The 23402-nt window shown below is 35.2% G+C and overlaps 1 long non-coding RNA gene across 2 annotated transcripts in view, besides 1 other annotated feature; it reads left to right on the forward strand.

Annotated features, from left to right (window-relative positions):
• The window catches only part of LOC105373691 (uncharacterized), a 79687-nt gene that overhangs the window by 11516 nt on the left and 44769 nt on the right, over nt 1-23402 (forward strand). The gene's annotated exons all lie outside the window — the stretch shown is intronic.
• Nucleotides 15351-15852: an enhancer, noted in NCBI's record as "NANOG hESC enhancer chr2:153842337-153842838 (GRCh37/hg19 assembly coordinates)". NCBI's record gives its function as "activates a minimal SCP1, AML or CMV promoter by ChIP-STARR-seq in naive H9 embryonic stem cells {active_cell/tissue: H9 hESC(naive)}" and the evidence as "EXISTENCE:reporter gene assay evidence [ECO:0000049][PMID:30033119]".

The following is a 23402-nucleotide window of genomic DNA, read 5'->3' on the forward strand; positions in this document are numbered from 1 at the left end:
CACATTAAATTGTACTACATTTCTTGCATACTTTGCTTTCATGAATCTTTGTCATGACTTACACAGACCATCTATGACATGCTTGGACTCTCTGACTTGTCCTAAACTCTTTAAACAACCAGTCATTTGAGTTTAGGACAAGAATTTACCATGCAAGATCCTTTCTGTTTTTTTTTTTTTTTTGACAGAGTCTCACCCTGTCACCAGGTTAGAGTGCAGTGGCAGGATCTCAGCTCACTGCAACATCTGCCTCCTGGGTTCAAGCAATTCTTCTGCCTCAGCCTCCTAAGTAGCTGGGACTACAGGTGCGTGCCACCACTCCTGGCTAATTTTTTGTATTTTTAGTAGAGATGGGGTTTCACCATGTTAGCCAGGATGGTCTTGATCTCCTGACCTCATGATCCACCTGCCTTGGCCTCCCAAAGTGCTGGGATTACAGGCGTGAGCCACTGTGCCTAGCTTCAAGATATTTTCTTATATAAAATCTCTTTTCTTCATAACCTTCTTTGCATAGGGGGCTAGGTGGGTTTCTTTTGTCCTTAGCCAGTTGAATACACCAGTTAGGAGAAGGGAGGTCAAGACACCTAACAGACATTATCTTTTATGGGCTAACTCTAAAGAAGAATTTAGCATAAGAAAAGAGGGTTTAAGTCATCTGAAACGTCTGTGAATTTGTCCTGGATGAGCTGTTGCTGCCAATTGTATCACACATAAAAATCATGAACTATAACCAGAAAAGATAGAAAAGAGTCCTTCCCCCTTATGGGCAGGGCAACTATCCCCATTCACTCTTTGGCCTTCAGGTAATAGTGGAGAGTGGCCCCAGTCAGTTGTCCTCAATTACCAAGGAGCAACTAGGAAACGGCCACTGAAAGACTGAAAAAATAGAGGAAAAGGACGCAGGTCTCTCACCCAAACTGGGTAGTGGTGGTCAGGTGTTTCCACATGAAAACCTTTCAGTTTCACTGGAGAGTGGCCTCAGCCAGAAACCTGCAGTTGTCTCTGTGCTTAGGCACTGTCCACTGAGGGTCCTAAGTTATAAAGGGAAAGAGAGAGAGAGAAAAAAGGGTTCCCCTGTATGGAGCAGAGGGAAAAGGGGAAAAGAGAAAAATAAATCCCAGACTTGGAGTTTGCCTCCTGGCCGACTCACCAAAATTTGTTGCCGATGGAGGGTCTTGACTACAAGTTGTCCAGGTGAATTTGACAAAATGCACAAACAAAGCAATGAAAGAATGAAGCAATTAAATCACAGATTTATTGAAACAAAAGTGCACTCCACAGAGTAGGAATGGGCTTGAGCAAGTAGCTCAAGAGCCCTGGTTACAGAATTTTCTGGGTTTAAATATTCTGTAGAGGTTTCCATTGGTTACTTTGTTACACCCTATGTAAATGAAGGATTGGCTTGTGGTCAGTCTGATTGGTTGCTGGAGGGGACTAATCAGAGGTACTTTCCATTTTTTATCTGTGAGGCAGTGGAAAGGGGAGTGGTTGCAAAGGGAGTAGCCTCTGATCCTTTTGTTACTTGGGCTTGGAGAGGTGGGGTTTTCTTTTTGATTCAGTTCTAGGAAGTCAGTGCAAATCGGCCTTAGGTTCCCTGCCTTCAGACCCTATTCCCCTGCCTCACAGGGGTAAGGAGCAGAACTATGGTGCTCCCTCTTTGATGCTATAGTGGGTGCATGGGAACTTGCTTTCTATAAAGTCTCACACAATGGGGGCTCCTTCTAGTTAGGAAGAAAGTTTAGATTCTGGATAGACAAATAAAAGCAGATATCCTAAAGTGTAATACAAACAACTGGAAAAAATAAAGGAATGGAATCAATAAGTTTTATATATGTGCCATGTATACATAGGCTCTGCTTGTATGAGAACTCAAGGACTTGCACTGCAATATCTATTACAAGTAAGCACCCCCCTGGATGTCCTAGAAGGGCATCTCCATCCCACTCAAGGTGATTAAAAACCTTTTGGTAGTCAGAGTATCTCTCTTTCTTTACTCAAGGGGAAAGAAGTAGCTTTTCTTCCTGAACACCAGATTCCCCTAAAGGCAATGGCTTCTCTCCACTCTGGTTCTTACAATGAAAAGGTGGTGGCAGTAGAGCTGATTCTGCTAATTGGTCCTCTCAAGGAGCTCCAGAGGCAGATGTCTTTTACCAATGGCTGTTGGTTATTGGAACTTAAGATGTCGGATGTGCATCTTAAGGATGTTCATCTATAACTTAAGATGTGGGATGTACACCCTGAATTTCAAAGTTCTAGAAAGAATTCTTAGGGCAAAAGAAAAAAAAAGTTAACACATTTAGACATCAGAAATAGTGGCTTTCAATAACAAAGTATCATGGAACAGCATCATATATCTGAGAGGAAGACGTGTGACTAGATGATTTTTTAATTCTATGAAAGATAAAGGTTACAATCAGAGATTGATAAATATGCAAAAGGAAATATAGCACAAATTAGCCCTTGAAAACAATACGTGATTAAAATCAGGCAGTCAAAAAGTGAATTACGGTACAGATCTCAGAAGTAAGGGAGCTGGTATTAGCAGACTGGTAGTTAATATGTTTATATTAGAATCGGGCTCAACAATTATGGGAATTGTTACTTGGAAAAATCCAAGTGTTATAAATATAGACAATATAAAAATAATAAAGTGCCAAATAATGGGGCATGTGGAGAAAAAAATGTGAGGTAGAAGGAAATATAAGTGTGCTTTTCTAAAATCAAGGAATCAGATAATAATTCTAAAGTAGATACGTTAAGAAATATAGTTTAAATGTATAATTTAAACTTCTTAAAAGAGGGCATACACAACCTTGCAAAAATGGGAAAAAAGCAAGTGCTAAAATCAGAAAATATAAATGTCAGAAATAAGAACAAATAATATCTGTTTTAAAAAATGAAGGTAAATGAAAGAAATTACTTGTAATGAGAAAGATTCTTAGATTAGTTTCTGTGAGAAAAGAGATTTTTTGTTTGTTTTGCTCATGGCAATGCCTAGAACACAGAAAAAGTCAAACTGGCTTGAAAATGAAGGGACCATTTAGCTCATGTAACCAAAAAGTCTAGTGGAACAGTGGGTACCATGGGGTCTTTGGCCTTATTTTTCTGTGAAGGTTCCTGGTCGGCACCCTGCTTTGTATGGCTTATTCTCAGACTTGCTTCCTCATGGTCACAAGAGGACTTCCCATAACAACTGTGGGAATGTGACTCTTCATTCAATGCCATCACTTTTCTCCCTACCTCAACCCCAACAAATCCTAAACCAATCCCATTGGAAAACCAGATAGGGATTGTCAGCTGTTTAAATTAGACGAGAATTCTCAAAGGGTGAACTGTAGATCTCCAGGAGTTCCCAAGACTCTTTCAAGAGGTCCACAAGTGCACAACTATTTTTATAGTAATACTAAGAGGTTATTTTCCCTTTTTCCTTTGTTGACATTGGCCATGATGATACAAAAGCTGATGGGATAAGACTGTTGGTACCTCAGTGTGATTCAAGGCAATGGCACCAAACTGCACCAGGGATCATGGCATTCACTGTCAGTTACTTGCAGCCAAAAAAAAAAAAAAAAAAATGCCATTTTCACCTAAGAATGTCCCTGATAAAGCAGTAAAAACTATTAATTTTATTAAATCTTGACCCTTGAATACATGTCTTTTTAATATTTTGTGTGATGAAATGAGAAGTAAGCATGCAGCATGAATACAGCATCTGGGAGTATTGTGGTCATTGCAAAGAAAGCACTTTGAGGTAGTGTGAGACATGACTGAACTGTCTGCTTTTTTCATGTAAAAGCATTTTATTCCAGAGAACCACTGACAGACAAATGATTGTTATTCAGACTTGGGTACTTGACAGACATTTTCTTGAAAACAAATGAAGTGAATCTGTCACTTCAAGGAAACTACTGACAATATTTTTTGCCAAAGATGAAATTCAAGCTTTCACGCAAAAATTCTAATTTTGGAAAACTTAAGTCTACCACCTTGAGCTCAACAGCTTCCCAATATTGAGAAGCTTTTGCAGTTATATTGATGCAAATATTAGCAAATGTGGATTTTTTTGGATATTACATAATAAAATGTGTCAGAATTAGAAAAGTAACATTTTGAGAATCAATATTTTTCAGATGATCAATGTGTGATGCTACAAAATCATGCTTGGCAAAAGATCCAATTGAACTACAAAATAGGCCAATAAATTTTAATGTAACAATATTTAAAGGTTATAAAATATTCATTGACATGGTTTCAGATTCCGTATTCCAACTGACATTTAAGATACCAGTTGTTTCTGTAGTATAGTATCAAAAAAGAATATCTATAATCATCTGAAAATTACTAAAATACTCTTCCCTTTTCAAACTACCTATCTGTATGTGGGTGGCTTTTCTCTATATAGTTTATTTTAACAACATATCACAACAAATGAAATCAAAAGCAGATATGACAATCTGTCTTCTATTAAGATACTAAAGAAATTTGTGAAAATGTAAAACATGCTTCTCTTCTCACTACATTTATTTTAGTATGATAATTATAGATTTTTAAATAAAAATGCTAGTTGTCATATATATGATTGTTAGTTTTAACTAAATAAATGTTTAAAAATTTTAAATTTTAATTTCTAATATAGCAAACACTGATAGATATAACTCACATAAACAAAATAATTTTGGAGTTTTTGATAATTTTTAATAGTATAAAGGGGACCTGATGCCATAAATTCTGAGAATTACTGATTTAGATTAATCAGGTATCATCCATGGAGCTGGATCGTGACTCAATTCCACCTAAACTATGTAGCATCTATATATAGCTTCTACGTAATTGGAGAAAGATTGAATGATATTAGGGAAGCAACTGCAATTTTCAGTTTAATGATAAAGGGTAAATTCCACAACAAATATATAATTATTACAAAACTTTGTGTACCAAAAAACATATTGTATAGTAATAATGATTGGCAATTCAGCATTAGTAAAAAATTTTGTCTCATCTTTCAGCCCCTGACATATCAAGTAGATGAAAAGTAAGTAATGCTGTAAAAATCAGAATAATAAAATTAATATAGATATTCTCATAGTTACATATTGGACTTTGTACCATAAAGACAAGTTTTTACAAAGTCAACCATTATATCAGGCCTAAAGAAATCCTTACTATATTAAACATTAGAAACACTAGAGGCTACATTTACTGACTGCAGTGCACTCAAGCTAGTAATTAATAGCAAAACCCAGAACTTTTACACCCAAGAACTTAAAGGTTGAAACACACATCTCAGGGCCACCATGTTTTGCAGCTCTGTGGGCACCGTTCACATTGGGCCCAAGTACTGTTCCGTAGAGTGACATTCAAATAGAGTACAATTTAAACAGTGGTATCTACTTGGGCAATGCGATGATCTTTGACTTCATTCTTAAGTAACTCTTATGAAAGATGAAATTTAAAATAAAATTTCAGAATGTCTAGAAATCAAATAATACCCCCACATGAGTTAAGGTGGTATTAAGAGGAATACTTACGGTTGAAACTATTACAGTATTAAACAAACATAAATAAATATATTAAAAATTTAAGATTTCCTAACCTAAGAAGTTAGGAAAAATTAAACAAAATACATCTAAGAAGACCAAATAAAGGAATTAAACCTGAGAGTACAAATTAATAAATTGGAAAACAGAAAACAAGCTATAATTGATAAATAAATCACACATTCTTTATTTGGGAAAACAGCTAGCTAGCCTAAGCAGGCAAAAGGAACAGGAAATGACAAGTACTCAAGATTAAAAATGAAAATACAAATGGGGGAAAAATAATAGGCAAAGAGAAAAGTAATTCTTTTTTTTTTTTTTTCTTTTTTTTTGAGATAGAGTTTCACTCTTGTCACCAGGCTGGAGTGCAATGGAGTGATCTCGGCTCACTGCAACCTCTGCCTCCCGGGTTCAAGTGATTCTCCTGTCTCAGTCTCCCGAATAGCTGGGATTACAGGCACCTGCCACCATGCTCGGCTAAGTTTTGTATTTTTAGTAGAGACGGGATTTCACCATGTTGGCTAGGCTGGTCTCAAACTCCTGACCTGAGGTGATCCACCCACCTTGGCCTCCCAAAGTGCTGGGATTACAGGTGTGAACCACCACGCCTGGCCGAAAATGGAAAAGTATATGTGTAGACAGGTAACAGAAAAATAAATATAGATGGCCAATAAATAAATAAAAAAGAAAAAGGTGTTCAATTGCTCATCTAGACATGAAAATCAACAAAGATTAAATACTACATTATTCACCTACCAGATTGGCAAAGATTCAAAATTTGGATGAGGATAAATTGTGTTTGATATAATTTTAGTGGAAGTGAAAATTTGTTAAACTACTACTATTTATTAATATCTGTTAAAATTTAAAATATGTATAACAAATTATTAAATAGGACATTTTTCTGGTCTGAGTTAATGTCCTAAAACTAATAACAATAGGTGATAATTTTTCTTTATTCCAAAAAGAGGTTTTAGATCACCTATGAAAGAATTGCCAAAGTGGATGCAAACTGATTCTGAAATCTTTACTGTATCATCCAAATGGCAAGAATTATCAGGAAAAGAGACTGAAACTCCTTCCCTTACCTCAAGCCCAGTAAAGAAACCTCAAGAGAACTGCCTAAATCTCAGGTTGTTGGAGGAGATAAATACTAAAAGAATAGTCCTTGTTTCCCTTCTCCTCCAGAGAATCTTGAAACGAGATTAGGTCTGAGTTGGGAGAAAGAAGATTTAAATTGGAAGAACATATGACTAGCTTAGATTTTTTAATGTTGGAAAGTAAGAATGACTGGAAAGTTGCACAGTCTGCTCGAAGGGTAAGGAAGGAAGACCATCATGAGACAGAATGAAGGTGGTGTGCTCATACTTCACTGAATTCAGCTCACTTAATAGGCAGTTACATGCCCTTTGACTCAGCAACTCTACTTCTAGGAATTCATCTTACCAATACACAGAGGTGCCAGATTGATGTTCATAGAAGCGTTTCTTGCAGTAGAAAGCTGAAAACAACTGATATGTTACAAAATTTTATAAAGTAAGTTATTGTATAATGTCACATACTTTGCAGTTATTAAGAATAGTGGGGTATACCCATATGTACTTGGGCATAGGAAGACAGAATAAATGAAAAAAATCAAATTTCAAAAGAAATGATAAATGTTTGAGGTTATAGATATTCTAAATACCCTGGTTTAATAATTACATATTGTATGCATGTATCAAAATATACATACCACACAATTATTGTGTATCAATAACATGTTAAAAATAAATAAAAACATCAACTTTAGAACAAAACGATCACAATTTTGTTAGAAAAAGGAGTAAAATTTCATAGCTATCTTCATGATAGAGATGAGGGTCATGTATTTTTCAGGATAAAGACATCTAATTAATTTCTTTTTTTTCTTTAAAAATTAAAAGAGTGACACATACCTGGTATACAATATTTTGTCTGTATAAAAGGATAAAAAGTTTAAAAAAAGACAACAACAATAACCTGTTTCTATTTCTGTCCCAGCTCTATGGATACAGTTATACAGTACCTGTGCATGATTTCTTCTAAAAAAAATCATGCATTACTTTTATAGTTAAATATGCAAAGAGAGAAGTGAAAGAAAAAGAATTAAATGTCTTTCTTTTATTTTAAATCTTACCTAGTTAGAGGAAAGCTCCTCTATAATTTTTTGTGCTATTGTTTTCTTTTGACTCATGTTTGTTTTTTGATTTGTGTGTTTCCAAATGCTAGCCTCTTTCACTTTTTGCCAAAAATGAAGTCATCGGAAACAGGAACAGTTATAACGAGTCAGAGATTGTGTTTGGTGAAGGCCCTGTTATGGTGTCATGGGAAGAGTTTGCATATCAGAAGCTCTGGTGGGTTTCCTAACCACAAATCTGAGGCCATGCAACACTGGAAAGTATCTCTCTTACAACTATCCCCAAGCTTGCTATCTGGTTTCCTACATAGTAAAATTCAATAGAATGTATATTCATCACTTCTATTTCTACATTTAAATGAGTATATACCACTAGCCTTCTTATTTTCTACCCTTTAAGCCTTTTTTCCTCACTAGAAGTACCAGATCATATTATCCAACCTAATTAGAACACTAATTCCATAAGATGCACCTTGAGAAAGTTTCTGTAGGTAAATTATTTTGGACCATGTAGTATGGAGTATCTCTGCTTTGGATAGTCAATGAGAGGAACATATTACAGGCTTATTTCCTTTAAATAACCTGAACATAGTTTCTAGTCAGCACTTCTCTAAATAACCTGAACATAGGACTCTCCCCTATTAATATCTGGAAAGGCTTCCATTCATCTAAGCTCCCAGGAAGGAGACTGGAAGAGGGAAAGGAGCCTGATTCCTTCATGGAGGACTTAGGTTGTCAAGTCTGCCTTCCATAGCAGGTTCTGTAACTAGATAGAGCTGAGTTTGATTTCAACCCTCCCTCTCCTGTATTTAAACTGTAAATCTGGATACATTTTCAACATTTCAGTCTTTAATTTGAAAACAAGTTTCTTGAGTTGTAGTGAATTAAATAAGAAGAGGTAGTTAAGTAGGTGCCCAATAAATATAATATTAATTTTCTTTCTATTCTTTTTAAGAGAATCTTTCAATTTACCATATTTTCTTTTCCCATCATTCTATTTTATTAACTTTAAGAGAAACACTCTTCTCCTCCAATCCTGGAAAATTTTTTTCTTCTTTTTGCCCTGAAACTTTACATTTGTATTTTAGGCCTTAGTGTCTCTTGTTTGGTATGGCTAACCAAGAAGGTATGCTCAAACCAAATGAAAAAATGGATAAAATAGTACTTCAAGAGTGAAGAAAATAACCTATTTTAATTTAGCATTTGGCTGCAGCCAAAAATTTGCCTTTTTTTTTATTCTCTATTTTTTGAATAATCATAGCAGTCCTAACAGCTCGTAGAGTCACAGAATCTCTTTTAGGGGACTTAGTTTTCCCTTCTTTTCATTTGCATTTCATATGTATCCCAATCATTTTGCTGTCCATACCTCTTATTAGAGTAGCTTCCTAACTGCCTTCCTGCTTCTAGTGTCTCTCTAGTATCCAAGTGATTGTCAACACACCTGTCAGCTCATCTTCCTAAAAATTCCACTTGGATTATCTTACTTTCTTAGTCATTAATTTCAATAACTTTCCTCACCCATAGAATTGTGTCTAACAAGACTTCCACGATAAAGTCCTTCTGTTTGGGCAATCTTTTATCCTTCTCTTTCTTAATAGTTGCCTTCTTTTCATCCAAATCAGCATTGGTTCTGTTTTGTGTGTATACTGGGCTCAAGTCAGTGCTGCGAATTTGTGTCCCTTCAATGCTCTTGTGCTTTTTTCTCTTTTCTCTGCTGGTCCTAAGCAGACTGATCTTTCAAGAACCAACTATGTCTTTCCTTCTACATGAAGATTTCTCCCTTTTCTCCAATCAGTGTACACGGTTTCTTTTCTAAATAGCTATTTAACAAAGTTTGAACCACTTACTGTGGTGTTTAATCAAATTCTTATCTGAAACAGTAAGACTGTTTTTCTTCTCATCTCAAAGGGACAGAAAGTTCCTGGAAGGTAAAAATGGTTTTTCAAAATTCTCTCTTACTGATTATGAGGACTAGCATAGTGATGGATTGATTGATTAACTGAATCAAGTATGATGTGAACTCTAGCTACATCATTGTTATTGTTATCTGAATAGTGGCAGTCCACTAGGCCTGTGACTTCATCCCATGTTATCCTGGCTGCTTGAAAACAGTGTTTGCACATCCAATTTAGGGGAAATCTAGAGTAGAGTTATGACCAGGGCACTCTGCAATTTTTAATATGTTGCATTCAACTTTGTGTTGTTATAATCAGATGAGAGTTCTTGCAATCAAGCAATTTAATATGCGCATGGAAAAACAAGGACATAAAAATTGAGAAAAGACAGCAAAGTTTCAGTTCAAGAGATTTAAGATGAAATGAGCATAAAATTCCTATGAAAATCAAAAAATAAGATTATGTTTTATTCAGTAGCTTTTTGATGCAATCAGTGATAGAAAGCCATTTACTTTCCTCAAAATTTTGTATTTCCCCGAGATAATGTAGGGCATGAATAGTAGGATTTTGAAAAAGACAGTTGGAGGAAGAAACATACAATTTACTATTATATTACTTTGAAAGGGAAAAAGAATGCTTTTATTTTGCCCCTGGAAATCTGCATCTAGATTTGAAAACCTGGACTATTTACTCCTACTACACCTCCAATACCCAATCCATTGTCAAGCTGTCAATCTAAAATAAATGAGTCAGAATGTAGTTTAAATAAAGTTTATTCAAGCGCAAAGGTTGAGACTGCAGCCTGGGATACAATTCCAAGGGGCCTTGGGGAAGAAAGGCTTGTTTTAAAAGAAAAAGGGACAAATCAGGAGAGGAGGGATTACAAAAGTTGTTCATCAAGGATTCTCATTGGTTTGCAGAAATAACATTGATTAGTGATTGGCTATATGTTGTTGAACTGGAGGATGCATGGCATTTTATATGTACTTGGCATCAGTTAGTCTAGAGCCCACAGATCAAGTGGTTTCAAGAGGTTGTTATTTAGCTTAAGGCGGAGTGAGATGTGACTACCTAAGTATTAAATGTCTTTCTGGGCCTGATAATTTAAAGGGGCTTGCATTTGTCAGATAAAAGTTTTTTTTCTTCCTCAAAGTTCTATTGGCTTCTACCTCACAGTGCATCATAAATTTATGCTTTGATCTGCAACCATAGGTTAAACTTCATTCACCCTCGTTAGAAATATTGTAAAGGCCTTCTAACTCCTTTCCCTGCCACAAATGTCTTTCTTCTCAAATGTATTCTCCATGCTGCACCCTGCATCATCAAAAATATACCATGTACTTTTCTGCTTGCAGAAATGCCAAATAAAGTTCAAATTTTCATGTCCTATCTGATCCTGACCCACTCTTTCTCTAATATGTCTTTCCAACGTACAGTTTATAGACTGGCCGTACAGGATTTCTTGGCACAGTGCATAATTTTTTGCTTCCATCTTTGTTGGCATCTTATTAGTTCTGCTTAGAATGCCCTAACCTTCATCCTTATCTATTGAAATCATTTTCATCCTTCAAGAAACAGCACCTACATTAAATATTAAAAATTTTTGCCTTCCTGAATGGATGTGAATTGCTCTTGTTTTTTTCCAGTAAATTTGTTTTCCACAAACTTTTATTGTTTATCATAGTACGTTCTCTTAAATCAGCAGCAGAAACTAGTCTTATTTATCCTTATAAATCCCATAGTGTCTAGCATAGAGTACCTCTACTTACTTCCATTATTCTTATAAGGATTACCTTCAAGAATGACAAGTCCTACTCTAGCTTGTTGTTAAACTTTTCCTTTTGCCTCATTTTAAAGAAGCATTGATCATGTAATCTGTAATGAAAAGAACTCCTACAATAGATCAAAATTGGTTTTTAGAGTTAGAAAATTTTCTTTCAGCTCTTAATTTGTTATTGTTAAGATCATGTAACGTTAATAAATTGTCAAGTTGGAGAAGTATGATCAAATTTCTTCCACATGAGTTGCAACATTCTAGGGTGTTTAAAGATTTTGGGCAGTGACTAATTTTAAATACTTTTTGAATTGATGATACTCATTAGAGCAGGTTTTTCATCAATGTCCTTGTAACAGTGTTTTATTGTTTTGTGTTACCTTGGTCAGTGTCAGTATTTCATGTTCAGTCAGCAAGAAATGTATTTTTCTAATATATTCATGAGATACATTCTTCTTCATTAATTTATCAATTACTCTTGAATTGTTTTAAATTAATTTAAAGATTATCTCTTCTTTTTAATGAATTACTACTTTTGATAGAACCTGAAATTTTTGGTAATAATGTCCTTCTTAGTGTCTGAATAATTTCTATTGATTTAATAATTCATTTGTATCATTTTAAAATTTCATATTCCTTTAATTTTTAGTTTAAATTTTATCTCATTTATTTAATACATAAATTTAAATATGACAAGGGAAGGCATGCTTCATATCCATTCAGATGAGGAGCAGTGTATTCCTAGTCTAATAAATATTCTCTTAGCTAGATTTCAAAGATGCCCACTGTCACTCTAATGCCACCTGACCCAAACATGATGGAGGGAAATCAGAGTGAACAGAGACAGTGGTCCTAATTTAGCTAAAATAAGTTATTGCTAAAAATTTCACAAGGACATCTGATAACATAAACACATTGCTAGGTGTTTTTTCCTGGGTCTTAGAAGTGGCCTGTGAAAATGAGGTTAAAGCATGTGCTTTCTTAACTTCATGGTAAGTCACCTGGTCTTTGACGAGCCATCCCTGCTGTGTGACCTTGATTACAGTCAGATGGTCTCTCTGGGACTGGTCTCCTCACCTGGAAAATGAAGTAGTTGAACTAAATAATTTCTAAAGTTTACTGAGGAATAAGTTCTAAGATAATAGTTGTGAGGGAGGATGGGTGTTTGTGGCAGTAATGTTGTCATATAAACAAAATGAGGTATTCAAAGGGCTGGGAGACTTAGTAGGAGTGTCAGATATGTTAAGTATTAGGTTTTGGTTACTGAGGAAATTTTAGTTAGTTGTTACATTGTAAAGAACATTAGAGACAAATTAGCAATGGCAGAGAAAGCAAACCCAATTCTCTTCATTGCAGCCTTTTAATATTTTGTGGTGTGCCCACACAGAAGGGGTACTAAGAAGCCATAAAAAAGAGTGAATTATGTGTCTATATCAACATAGAATGAATCTGAAGGGAACTGCTAAATAAACAAAAGTAATGATCAGAACAGTGTGTTCAAAATACCTTTTACCTAAAATGGGAAAATTATGAATGTATGTGTGTGTATGCGTGTGCATGCACGCATGCTCACCTGTCTGTTGCTTATGTGAAAAAATGTATACCAACAAATGAAAAAACATGTATATGGGGAGGTTGGAGGGATCTGGCTACGAGAATACCAGATTGGGGAATATGTTGGTTTTGGTGTGAATGTGTGTGAATGATGCCTTCTTTTGTCATCTTTAAATTTATTTATCAAATAAATAAATGTAAATAAAAGTTAAAGGAATATGAAACAAAGGTAATGCAAATGAATGATTATATAAATAGATTTGACTCCAGAATCCTGAAAAGATTTTGTTATAATATAAAATTAAAACAACATTTTAAAAAGTCTGAAAATATAAAGCAAATAAAATAATTGAATGTAACTATGTATTGACTTGATAATTTAGTCAGCAAAGAGGAGTTACTTCAAATACTTTTAAAACAAAGTAATATGTCTATACATCTATAGTGGTATATATACCAAGAGCAAAGTCACTGTAAATACATCTTTGCCTGTTTTATCATATTTTTAGTAAAAATATTGCCATTGTTACTTTGTAATTATAATAAGCTAATGCAAATAAGTAATCTTATTAGTAGCCAAAATTTTTATTGAAAAGAAGATAAACAAGTAAAAAATAAAGTAAAAATTATATAATTGCAAATTTGGATTGGAAATACTAGTATAAACTCATGATGCATTTTCACTTAAAAAAATTCAGCTTCATGTGGTTCTATCTACTGAAAAACTTAGAAACAGTGGCGGTGAGTACTCCTTGAGGCCACTGGTAATCTCTAAACAGCATTTCTCACTGAAAGAAACTATGGATCTTTGGAGAAATAGCTGGTTCCAGATTGGGAATAGAGAATGTATGAGATGAGCCTGAAAAATCTTATATAAGAATTCAAGGAACTTTTCAAAAACTGAGAGGCTTGGGTCAAAAGTATTAGGGTATAACATGATGAGCTTTTTATGGGCTAAAGAATTTTATCACCAAAAAGAATAAAAACTTCCATAAGTTGAAACATATCAAATATGTTAAAATACATGAATATGTATACTAAAAAAAGCTGGTCACTTTTGGAGGATGCTAGGGAACCAGTGAATTATTCTGAAAACTGGAAACTTTTATACCTTTCCTGGACAAACTACCCAAGGGAAAATTCTTTTTTTAATAGAATAATTCTAGCTAATAAATGTAGAAAGAGTGATAGAATTAAAATATTATTATTTTCCCAGTACTGATGAACTAATGGATCTAGGCAATCATTATTAACAGATAATAAAATCATGAGGTGAGAAACTGTTGGGAAACTTTATAATGGATGGATTAAGCTTAGCAATACATGAATTCAGTCAAGAATCTAAATATCACAAAGAGAAACAATCAGCCATTTTTTGTTTCCTGATACGATGCTAGGGCAATACCTAAGATACCCTATAAAAAACTCTATTTCTGAAAAAATTCAATCTCAATCTGATCAATCCTCTAATTCTAACTGTCAGTTTATGTGAACTATACAGGACAGAGAAATAGGTTAGATTATAATATGAAGGTACAATGAGCAAAATATAAAAATTGGGAAAATCTACAGGTCAAGTGATTTCATGTCCTCAACCAATAAATTATAAATTTTAAAATAAAATTAAGCACGTCAATGGAATGCATTATATGGAACTTATTTGAACAAAGCAATAATTAATAACAAACACACAGACACCAACAATAACAAGAGAAAGCCCAAAACATTTTATGGGGGATATTTGACTAGTTTGGATATTTGATAACATTAAGGCAGTCTTAAAGGTTGCCATTTTTATAAGGTATAATGTTATTGTTGTTATAAAAAAGAGACCTTAGGCTTTCAAACTAAAGGAATTACAGAAAAAAATAACATAATGTGATGTGGACTTTTTTTAAAAAAAATAATCAAATTGGAGGGATAATTTGGGTGAGTATGTTCAAAATATCTATAATATGACATTTAAAAATATATAGGTAAGTGAAGGTAAACAATTGGGTCATGAATGAATTCCAAGGAGCTGAGGCTATGTGGATCTGTAAGAAACTGGATCTGAGGTGGAAATCAGTAAAGCATACATCTACAGAAAAGATCATTTTGTAGCAGAGGTCATTTCGGAGGTAATTTTCTGAAAATGGAAGAGGGGAAATGATGAGGGCTACATAAGCAGGAGATGGCCTTTTTCAATTCTCTTCTTGACCTGGCAATCTCCCTTTTGGAACTGTTCATGTTTTTGCACAGCTCTGTCTTACGGTTCTCCTCTCAGTCCCTTCATCTGCCTCTTTCCCTCTTGGATTACTTTCCATTAACTAGGCATATTATACAATAAAAATGTACTTAATATATTTTGGAAAATTGGTATTTTTTATTGTAGTAGTGGAGTATTTTATGTGTGATCATACACCCAGGTTCATCTGGATCAGACCCAGTTTATGAGTTTTTGTCCCAGAGAAATTATTAACACCACTTTCCCTCTGTTTTAGTCCATTTGTGCTGCTATTACAAAATATCTGAGACTAGGTAATTGATAAAAAACAGAAATTGTGTTTTCACAGCTCGGGAGGCTGGAAAGTCCAAGGCAAGGTGCTGGCAGTTTCAGTTGTCTGGTGAGGGCTGCTTTCCTGCATCCTCACATGATGAAAGAGCTGAAGAGCAAGCTAGCCAGCTAGCCTAAAGTGGTGTGAAGCCCCACTTATAAGGATTTTAATCCCATGAACAAAGGAGAAGCCAGCATGACCTAATCAGCCATTAAAGGCCCACCTTTTAATACTATCACATTGGCAACATGAATTTTGGAGGGGACACATTCAAACCATAGCATCCTCTAAAAAGTGTCCTGGATTGGATGATAAACTATATCTTTTTCTAAATTTTTGCAACAGTTGACTGTCATTCATATTCTTTAGGAAGTGTTTGTGCTAATACCTTACCTATGAGAGAGATGACATTAATGTATTGGCAGGCATGTATCCCTTTGAATAGATTCTTTTGGAAGAATTAAAAAATTGCACAGCGGAGAGCACAATCTCTAGAGAGCAGAGGAGAGGCATATTTTGATAGAGAAGGAAGGTTTCAAACATAGGCAGTTGTATGGAGGGAAAGCCAGATGTGGGGGCTGGAAATGGGATTTACAAAGCTGAAACACACCAGTGAGAATAGATGGAGTCAAATATAAAAATTGAGATCAGGAAGAGCCAAATACTAAGCAGGGCAACAGCAGTTTTGTTTAGGCAATACCATTATCTCAGTACTAGTAATAATAATAATGATAATGATAATGATAATGTAGTGAAACACAGATTGGCAAGAAATGCCTTTTTCCCCCTGTATCTAATTCCCATGATTACAACTTAAAATCTTGGTCAATTAATTATTTTCTCAAATCAGTTTCTCACCTTTCCCAGATTTCTGTTTTAGAGCGTAGATACCAGGATATGTGTGGAGGGGTGTGGTGGACCTGGTTCACAGCATCATCATCTGGCCCTTGGGCATCTTCTTAGGTATGCTTATTCTCATCTGTCCTTTGGTCCTAAAACTTCTTCACCGCCTGCTCTTGTATTTATGTATGAAATCCCTCCACCACCTTTGGACACAGAAAATCATCTGGCTGCCTTCTTGGCTCTGGGAGCTCTGGGGAAAGCTCAACAAGGCCATCTCAGAGTGTCTTCTGCATACCCCATGTAGCCATCTCCTGGTGCTGTGCCAGCTGCCATGCCAGGAAGCTCTTCAAGGCTTGCTGCTTCTTCTGGCACTACCTCCCAGCCCTATGTAAGCGCTGGGAATTATTAAGCTTATAAGGCCTTATAATTGTTATTTGCTGAGCCTCATGGAGTTTTTACCTTATGAATGTGCGCTTTAGTATTGAGGAGGACATTCAAGAGTACTCCCTTGTAGATTTTTGGAGTTCTTTTTATTTCTCCTCTCTGGTTTCTGCCTCACACATTTCATCTCTCATAGCATCCCTGAGTTCTGATCTTTGTTTCCTTAATTCAAATATTTTCACCATTTGCTTGGGTTCCTGCTCGCTCCACTATAGTCCTTAAAGCGTATCCGCTGAAACTGAGGTGATTGTAGGGCCTACCATGTTTGCCTGGATTCCCCCAGGAATCATAGTCTTCCTTTGTCTACCATCCAATGCCTAAAAATTATTACTTCATATATTCTGCCAAGTTTTCTAGTTGCTGCTAGAGGAAAGTCTGCCACCAGTTAACGCCATCATGGCCAGAAGTGAAAGTCTACAGTTGTCCTTTTTAAGTTACATTTTTAGTGATACATTTCTCTGACAGTCAGGTAATGCACTCTAGTGCATAGCCTGGCTCTCCCTACTGGTTAGCCTTATTGCAAACTATACCACTCTACACATGGAGGTGAAAACTTGATTACATGCTGCTTCCTGAGTCTACCTTCCCTTTACCACTGCTCTATCACTGAACATGACTTTCTCTCCACTATTTGGGATTCTCAGAGATCATACAATTTTTATCCTTAGGTATCTGATACCTTCAACCTTACAAAGCATTGTAATATACAGTAAAATAAGGAACATATGGAGAGAAGCATTGAGCTCAAGGTGTTTTAAGTGGGCCTCAGAAATAAGTAGAACAATCAGGTTTGGCTCTTGGTAGCCAAAAACAATTATTATGTGCCCCAATTAAATGCCACACATTATTTCAAGAGTAAATCAAGTAATTAAAAATAATCTGTTGAAAACAAGCCTTCCTAATGAATGAATTAAAAAAATGGCGTAACCCTGGGCTTGGCAAGTTACAGCCTGTTGGTCAAATCTCACCTGCTGCCCGTTTTTGTGCAAACGACCTGAAAGTTAGTAATGGCTTTTACTTTTAAAAATAGTTACATATTAAGAGGCTACATAAATGCCTATATAATATTCTCAATTTTGTCTCTTGACTCACAAAGTCTAAAATATTTATTCTCTGGCTCTTTAAGAAAAAGTTGGCTGGCTCTTGGTCTTTAACATTTTCTCCATCCATTCCTCTATACCATTCATGTAACAATTATTTATTGAATGCTTTATATTGTACAAGGTACCTTGCTAAGATAAAAAAATTAGGCAGAGAATCTTTTTGGGTTCATAATTTAAAAGGGAAGATAAGACATGAACATTGCTATAAAGCAGTAATATAAGTTGGAGTAAAAGAGGATTCATGCGAGAGGAAACAGGTTAAGAACTATCCTATTTCAGCAGAGAATAACTAACTTCAAGCTGGAGATGTTAGAGGAATCTCACCGGAGGAGGTGGAATTGGAACTGGGCCAGCAGGACAGATAGGTAGGATTCAAATATACATAGCTAAGTACATTCCAGGAGGAAAACATTACTAAAACTCAGTCACAGTTGCAATTTTTAAAATGTGCTACAAGTTCACTCTTGAATTCTGAGTCCTGCCCTTGGAGTGGCAATTAATTGATGTTCCAGGGTTTTGAGAAAAACATTTTGGTTCTTTGATACAAATTTTCATCCTGACTTCCCACCTGTTTTCTCTCCTGTGGCCAACATTTAGGCTGAGTTTCCTTGTAGGCATTCTAAGGGATTAGGTAGCAGGTTTTGAGGAGCTGCTTTCCTAGCTGAATTTTCAGATTTGGGATTCCAGTGGGTTTAGTGGGGAGACAGTATTCCATAGCCTCATCCCAGATTAGAGAAGTTTTGGCCAAAGTACTCCATGTACCACCCTCTGCGTGTGTGCTGTGTTCACCAGTGGCAACTCTGCGAAGACACCCTTCTGTAACTGCACTCCTTCTCTCCATGGGGACCCACAGCCAGCAGCATCTCCCTGGTATCTTTGCCAGCCTACTATCTCTAATGGTGGAGAAGGAAGGAAAATCAGATTCAATATTTGTAATGTTCAGACATTGCTTTCTCTCATGTAAATAAGCCTCTTAATGCTAGGACCAAAGAAATTGATCTAAGCAAAAAGAGAATCTTTATTTCCCCTGTTTAATAGAGACTTGAATACACAATGAGAAACTGAAATAAATACTGTCATTCATCTTAAATGAAATGAGCATAACCTGAAAATAACTTTCTTATGGATCAAAGTTTTTAAAGTAGAGTTAGAATGTAAAAAGATTATTCAAAGGAATGAAATTCATGATATTGAGTTTTCCTGTGAAAATAATCTTTTAATACGATTTGGGATGATGGCATGGTTCCTGATTGATGAGTTATATGTGAAAGAACAGTTTAGGGGGGGAGTATGAATACGATCATTTCCGGAGAAAGAGCTATTAAATAATATTACCTATCCTTTGAGGTAAACGTATTTTTTGTTTTTAAAGAGTAGTCATCATTAAATTTGTATGCTGATTAACACAAAGTCTCTGAAATCAAACTCTATTCATGGACATATACAGCAGTACTTATTAGGCACAATAAATGGAATAATTTTCATAATGGATTTAATGTTTTTCCATTTGGCAGTCAGAATAGTGTTTCTTAGTGTCACAAATACACTACTTTCATAACACCTTTTTATTTCTTCCATGGGCTTTGTAGTTAAGTTTGAATAAATCTGTGTGGTTTTCCTTTAACTTTTCTTTTAATCTTGCATAATGGTCATACTGACTTATCAATTATAGGACAGTGAGAATTGACTTAAAGATATATCCAAGATTGAAGGAGTCACTGGACTTGAATCAGATAAAATGTAATATTTTGGAGGAAGTTTTTGCATTTATTTGGCAACAATAAAAGTTTTTTACATTTCCATAGTATTTAAAAATATTGTTGGTGCTGTGCCGTAATATTTTGGTCTGCCCTTGGTTGCGAGTGGTAGAAACTTAGAAGGGCTTGATACCAAAAAGAGAATGTATTGTCTCACAATGCTGAAATGTCTAGGGACATCAGTCTTCAGGAATAGCTTGCTACGTGTTTTCAACTATATAACTAGGGTTTTGTTTCTGTCCGTACCTTGGTTCTATTTTCCTCTGTGTTGGCTACATTCTCAGTATCTCCCTCCATCAGGTGACAAGATGGCCACTGATGACTTGATGCATACATGGTCCTTATTGCTTGAGATACCAAAGGAAGCGGGAGCATCTTTACTCACAGCTTTAGCAATTTTCCCAGAGCACAGTGACTTGGGTCACATACCTTGAGCATAGCTAGGGTGTAGAATAGTAATTGACCACGCCTATGTGACCTGCATACATCTGAGGCAGGATGTATTACTGTGGTTTTGGGAGCAAGGGCTTCTGGATCAATTCATTAAAGATCAATAAACCAAAAGACTAATGAGTAATTTATTGAATTCATTTTTCTTTTATGATTTATTTTTAAGCCAGGTTTCATTGCTCATGTATAATGACACTTTAAGGGATATTCACTTTATCTTGGCCTTTATTCTGTACTTCTGTAGCTAAGATGGAGTCAGAGAGGTGGGGAATGAGGAGCAGAGAGAGGAGAGACATCTGGCCATCCATTCTGCCATTACTTTATTGGTAGTGTCATATCAACAAGGCTACTACTGGACATATCTAAGATCTAAGCCCTACATAACTTTATTCGTTAGTGCTGGGGCAGTAGGTCTATGTAAGTGAAGGCTGATTCATCAGTGGACAAATCCCATTGACAGGTTTTGTGGAACTGATGTGCCTAGTCCCAGGACCACAAAGCACTCACAAGGAACAAGTTGGGACCTGGCCACCAACAAAGTATGAGTGCTTTGTCCATCTGTCGTATATTGTATGCTCTATGGACTTTCATGCTATGCCATTAAAGAATTTATGTGAAATAACAACAAAGTATTTTTATAAAGAATTTTCTAAAGGTCCTCAAGATAGGGGTCAAAAAAGGAGCTGTAATGATTCCCTGTATCCTCAGCCATGGACTCTGTCCACATACACTACCCTTCCAGGGTTTCAGGTTTTGAGACAAAAAGAGAATTACAGTTGCAAGAGGGAGATCACATTATCCTTTGTACTCACAGTAAAGAATCTGTGAAGGTGTAATGTGAAGAGCGTTTAACTAGGAGTCCAAACATCAGAAATTACATCCTGTTTTTTACCGTGTTCTAGCCTTTTGATTATAGTTAAATAATAACTTTCTAACCTTTGGTTTTCTCAGGGATATAAAAGATTAATAATGATCCTTTTAAAATAGTTACCAAAATAGCATTGTGAATATTATAATTGTAGAAAAAGATAAGATGAAGCAATTGATTTACTATTCAGAAGAAGCAAGTACAATTTTCTTAATATTTCTAGTGTTTTTGTCAACTGCTTGGAATAAACAAACTTGCATTTTGCTCTTCTACAAGGACATTTGAAATAAAATACATTTTAGAAAGGTAGATGAAAATTTCTTTGTCACTGGTTATTTAGTAGTGACAGTAGAACATGTAGATGACTGTTTCCAAAAGCGATTCCTTTGTATTTTGGGGGTAGTTTAGACTTGCGTTATACCAATGCAAGTAACCATCACTATCTCTTGCAGAAATAGCAGTGCAGTGCATGGTCACAGTTTGAAACATCAATGGCTGTCAGTTAAAACACGTGGAATGTCTTGAAACACTGCTGTGTGGGGGCAATAATCTATTTTGATCATGAAATTACACCTTGAAGAACTATTTTTTATTATAGGCATTTTTAAAAACCAAATTACACCTTGTGGTGCAGACTGGGTTAAAAAAATTCCAAATGTCAACATGATTCTAATATGTGATGCTATAGGGCTTATTTTTCCTGAGTTTAAAAAATTATATTTTCTGTGCTTGGCATCCACACTGTGCTCTAGGGAACCACATTATATCTGTGTACTTCACTGATCTTCTTTGTGGAACTACAGTGATTAATGAGAACAATAATCAATTAAGAACTCATTTATTACACTTCATTAAACCAGTGATCTATTGACACTCACAAGATATGAACATAAAGTACAATTTAATGATTAAAATAGTAAAGGAAATTAAACATATCATGGAATGTTAACTCATTGGAAGAGTTGATAAAGATGATTACTTTTGTGCAACACAAGAGGAGTCTTTTTATATGAACTTCAGCTAAAGGAGAAATATGAATTTAAAAAGTGGAATGCTCACAACTTAATAAAGGAAGCTATATTATAGAACCTTTATATGCTTAGAAAAACAGGACAGGCAAAAACACGTGAAAGTATATGTTGACAAAAGACAGTAACATCATAACATAACACAGTTACTATGTGCACTTTGCTTAGTGTGAAAGATCCAAGATGACAAAGACTCTGAAATGAGATTTAAAAAAAATCTCAATTTTCTCTTTTGATCACTGAATAGTGTTCTACATTTATATCATTATAACAAAGCACATTTGTTTGGCTAAATCAGACTCAGTAATATAAACACAAATGTTACGTTCTCTCCCTTTTCTAAAAAACATCTACTTAATGCCATTGCTGTATGGGAGTTTTTGCTTCGTAAATAGGAGAGCAGAGAGGTTTGGGTTGGGTTTCATGGAAAGAGTCCAGAGGAGAAATGGTGGTGTTGATCAGTGGTTTATGAAAAGATACGCTACCACTCTTAAGGGAGTGTTTAGTAATTCATGACGGCATTAAAAAAATTGTGAGGCATTTCTAGTTTCTCACAGTGATTGTTTGTGTTGGGGGGAATACAACTGGCAGCTATTGAGGGTGCTATATTATCTACAATGCATGAAATATTTCTACATAATGAAGACTTGTCCTGAGACTCCTATGAATTTTGATCTTCTGACCAGACATTGAGGTATATAGAAAAACCTGTATATAAATAACTGAGTCTAAATGCAAAATATTTTTTACATGTCAGTATGTTTTTTTTTCATGGTATTATATCTATTGAATTTTGGAGAGATAAACCTGCTGAATAAATCAAGGCACGTTTACACTTTGAAGCATCACCTTACCAAGAATTGTTTATTATTTTGGTAAATCACATGATTGAAAGAAATGCTAATGCCAGATACCAATATCAGACTTTCTTTGAGGCAGTGTGATTCTCTGCAATTCTATACATAGAGGCAAATATCAGCTTATTGTTGGCCCTCCCTATTCATGGGTTGTGCATCCATGGATTCAATGGAAAATATTTGGAAACAAAAAATAACAATACAGCGATAAAAAGTAACACGAATAAAAAACAATGCTGTATAACAACTATTTATGTAGCATTCACATTGTGTTATGTATTATAAATAATATAGAGATTATTTAAGGTATATGGGAGGATGTGCATAGTTATATGCAAATACTATTTTGCCATTTTATATAGGGAACTTGAGCATCCTTAGATTTTGGTATCTGTGGGAGGGGCATGTGTGTGTGTGTGTGTGTGTGTGTGTGTGTGTGTGTGTGTGTGTGTGTGTGGTGTGTGGACTGTACTTCATTATATCTGATAATGTAGTTTTGTCCAAAAATTTTTATATTAAGACACATTTTATTATAAGTTGCTTCATTTTTAAAATATAATTAAGCCTTTATATAATAGCAATTTGAATTTACAGTTTTAT

The sequence above is a fragment of the Homo sapiens genome, chromosome 2 (genome assembly GCF_000001405.40).
Source record: "Homo sapiens chromosome 2, GRCh38.p14 Primary Assembly".
NCBI lineage: Eukaryota > Metazoa > Chordata > Mammalia > Primates > Hominidae > Homo > Homo sapiens.